The sequence below is a fragment of the Homo sapiens genome, chromosome 5, assembly GCF_000001405.40.
Source record: "Homo sapiens chromosome 5, GRCh38.p14 Primary Assembly".
Classification (NCBI taxonomy): Eukaryota; Metazoa; Chordata; class Mammalia; order Primates; family Hominidae; genus Homo; species Homo sapiens.
In genome coordinates, this window is record NC_000005.10 from 140,068,218 (window position 1) to 140,070,578 (window position 2,361).

A 2,361-nucleotide genomic window follows, 5' to 3' on the forward strand; every position below is an offset into this window, starting at 1 on the left:
ATGTAAGTATGAAATGGGGAAAGGCAAAAAAAGAATCTTGTGGAGATGCACTGGAATTGGAGAAACTGGTATGAAGTCATGATTTCTAAAATGTGAATATGTATATACATGTTTATGTATGTGCACATGTATATGTGTATGTGTATGTGTATGCACATTTGTGTATACATGGCTTTACTTCCCATCTCTGTTTGTTCAAAAGTCCAAGAAGCAAATAAAACCTGGTAGCAATGAGTATGCCTCGTGCCTAGATCTTGGTTTCTAGTACCATTCCCCTCTAAAAGGAATCTGTCCTCCTTCAAGAAATGGCTGATTCCAGGGCTGGGGCAGCATAGATACATTGGAGCCTAGGACACCCTGTTATGCCATCCTGTTAAGGAAGTGCTAAAAGAAAAAAAAAGTGACAGCATATTGCAAGGACATGAGGACTAGCTTGAAGGGGCCCCACTGGCCAAATCGGAGACAATTAAGCACCAAACTAGTACATATAATAATGAATTATAAACCATTGGTAAAACAGTGAGGGCCCAGAGCCAACTGATCCATTAGGCACAGTGTCTGAGACCCATGATACTTTCAAAGGCGCATGAAAATGTTTTAACTTCTTTTAAAAGAAATCAGAAGAAAAATAAATGCACTGGCAATAACATCCTGGATTATATTTATCTTCATAGCAACAAAGTCATCAAATATAATTTTTTAAAATCATATGGAGGAACAATAAAGACAAAAGTGCCGAGGGCCCAAGAAAGTCATAAGGCTGCCCTTCTAGGGACAACTGGCCAATGGGGACCATGTGCTAAACTGGAAAATTATCATTTTGCAACTTTCATAGTACAGATTAATTCAAGCAAGAATCATCAATAGAAGTTAAATCTAAAGGAAATTTTTGGTAAGGAATAAGATATTGGCACCATCTTAAAATGTGTCACCCACAGACTTATTAGTCGCAGGAAAGAAAGAACAAAAGATGATTATACAGTGGAAAACTAAGGCATCACTTTGATTGGATGATCAAAATTAATATTATCTTTGAGAGATAGATGGACATCGTGTGCCTCCAGATCCTGAGAAGGTCACAACATCACCTATGCAATATTCGTGCTGAGAGTGTATAAATGCAATCTAATCATGAGGAAACATCAGACAAACAAAACGAAGTGTTCTATTAAAAAAAAGAAAGGTGGGAGAGTTGTATTCTTCAAAAATGTCAATGTCAAAAAAGACAAAGACTGTGGAAATGTTCCAGATTTAAGGTGGCTAAAAAGACATGGCAATTAAATGCAATATTTGACCCTAAAATTGAAGCTGTACTGGAAGGGGAAAAAACCTGTGAAGGACATGATTAGATCAGCTAAAACTTTTGGAATGTGAACAGTAAATTAGATGATAGCATTCTATCAAGGTAAACTTATGAAGTCAGTAACTAGAGCAAACCCCTTTCCTTCAGAAATACATGCTGAGCTGAGCCCTATGACAAACTCCTGTGGTCCCAGCTACTGAAGGTTGAGGTAGGAGGATCACTTCAGGCCAGGAGTTCAAGGCTAGCCTGGGTAATATATTGAGACCCTATATCTCAATTAATCAATCAATCAATGCCGGATGATTTGAGGATAAAAAGCCATGAGCCATGATATATACAGCCTGGCATGGTGGCATACACCTGTGGTCCCAGCTACTTGGGGGCACTGAGGCATGAGGATCACTTGAACCCAGGAGGTTGAGCCAAGATCATGCCACTGAACTCCAGCCTAGGTGACAAAGTGAGACCTTGCCTTAAAAAAAAAAAGATATATGTAACCTACATCAAATGGTTTAAGGAAAAAATATGTGTGTGTGTGTGTGTGTGTGTGTGTCTGTGTAAACAGAAAGAGAATGTTAGCAATGGCTGAATCTTTGTAAAGGATATTCAAATGTTCCTTGTATGATTTTTACTTTTGCAACTCCTTATAAGTTTGATATTATTTTTAAATAAGTTTTTGAAAACTTAAGAAATAATAAATATATTAGAGTGTCACATACACTGTATGATGACATTGGCTGGAGTTTTCATGTTATAAACAGTTTCTCATCTTATCATATAATCTTTGAGTCTATTATTTTAAATGTCTACATAGCATTCTATCAAACTGATATGCTAGAGTTTGCTGAGCTATTGCTTTACTGTTAAAATTTTAAATTACCTTCAATTTTTTTTCTGTTTCAAACAGTGTTCACAGTTGTTAAGCTTCAGCACTCTAGAACCGTATTACCTATATTCAAAATCCCAGCTCTGTTATTTATTAGTTGTATGGCTTTGAGTAAATTATTTATCCTTCTATGCCTCACTTTCAAGTTAGGCATAAATAGTACTTATAGGGT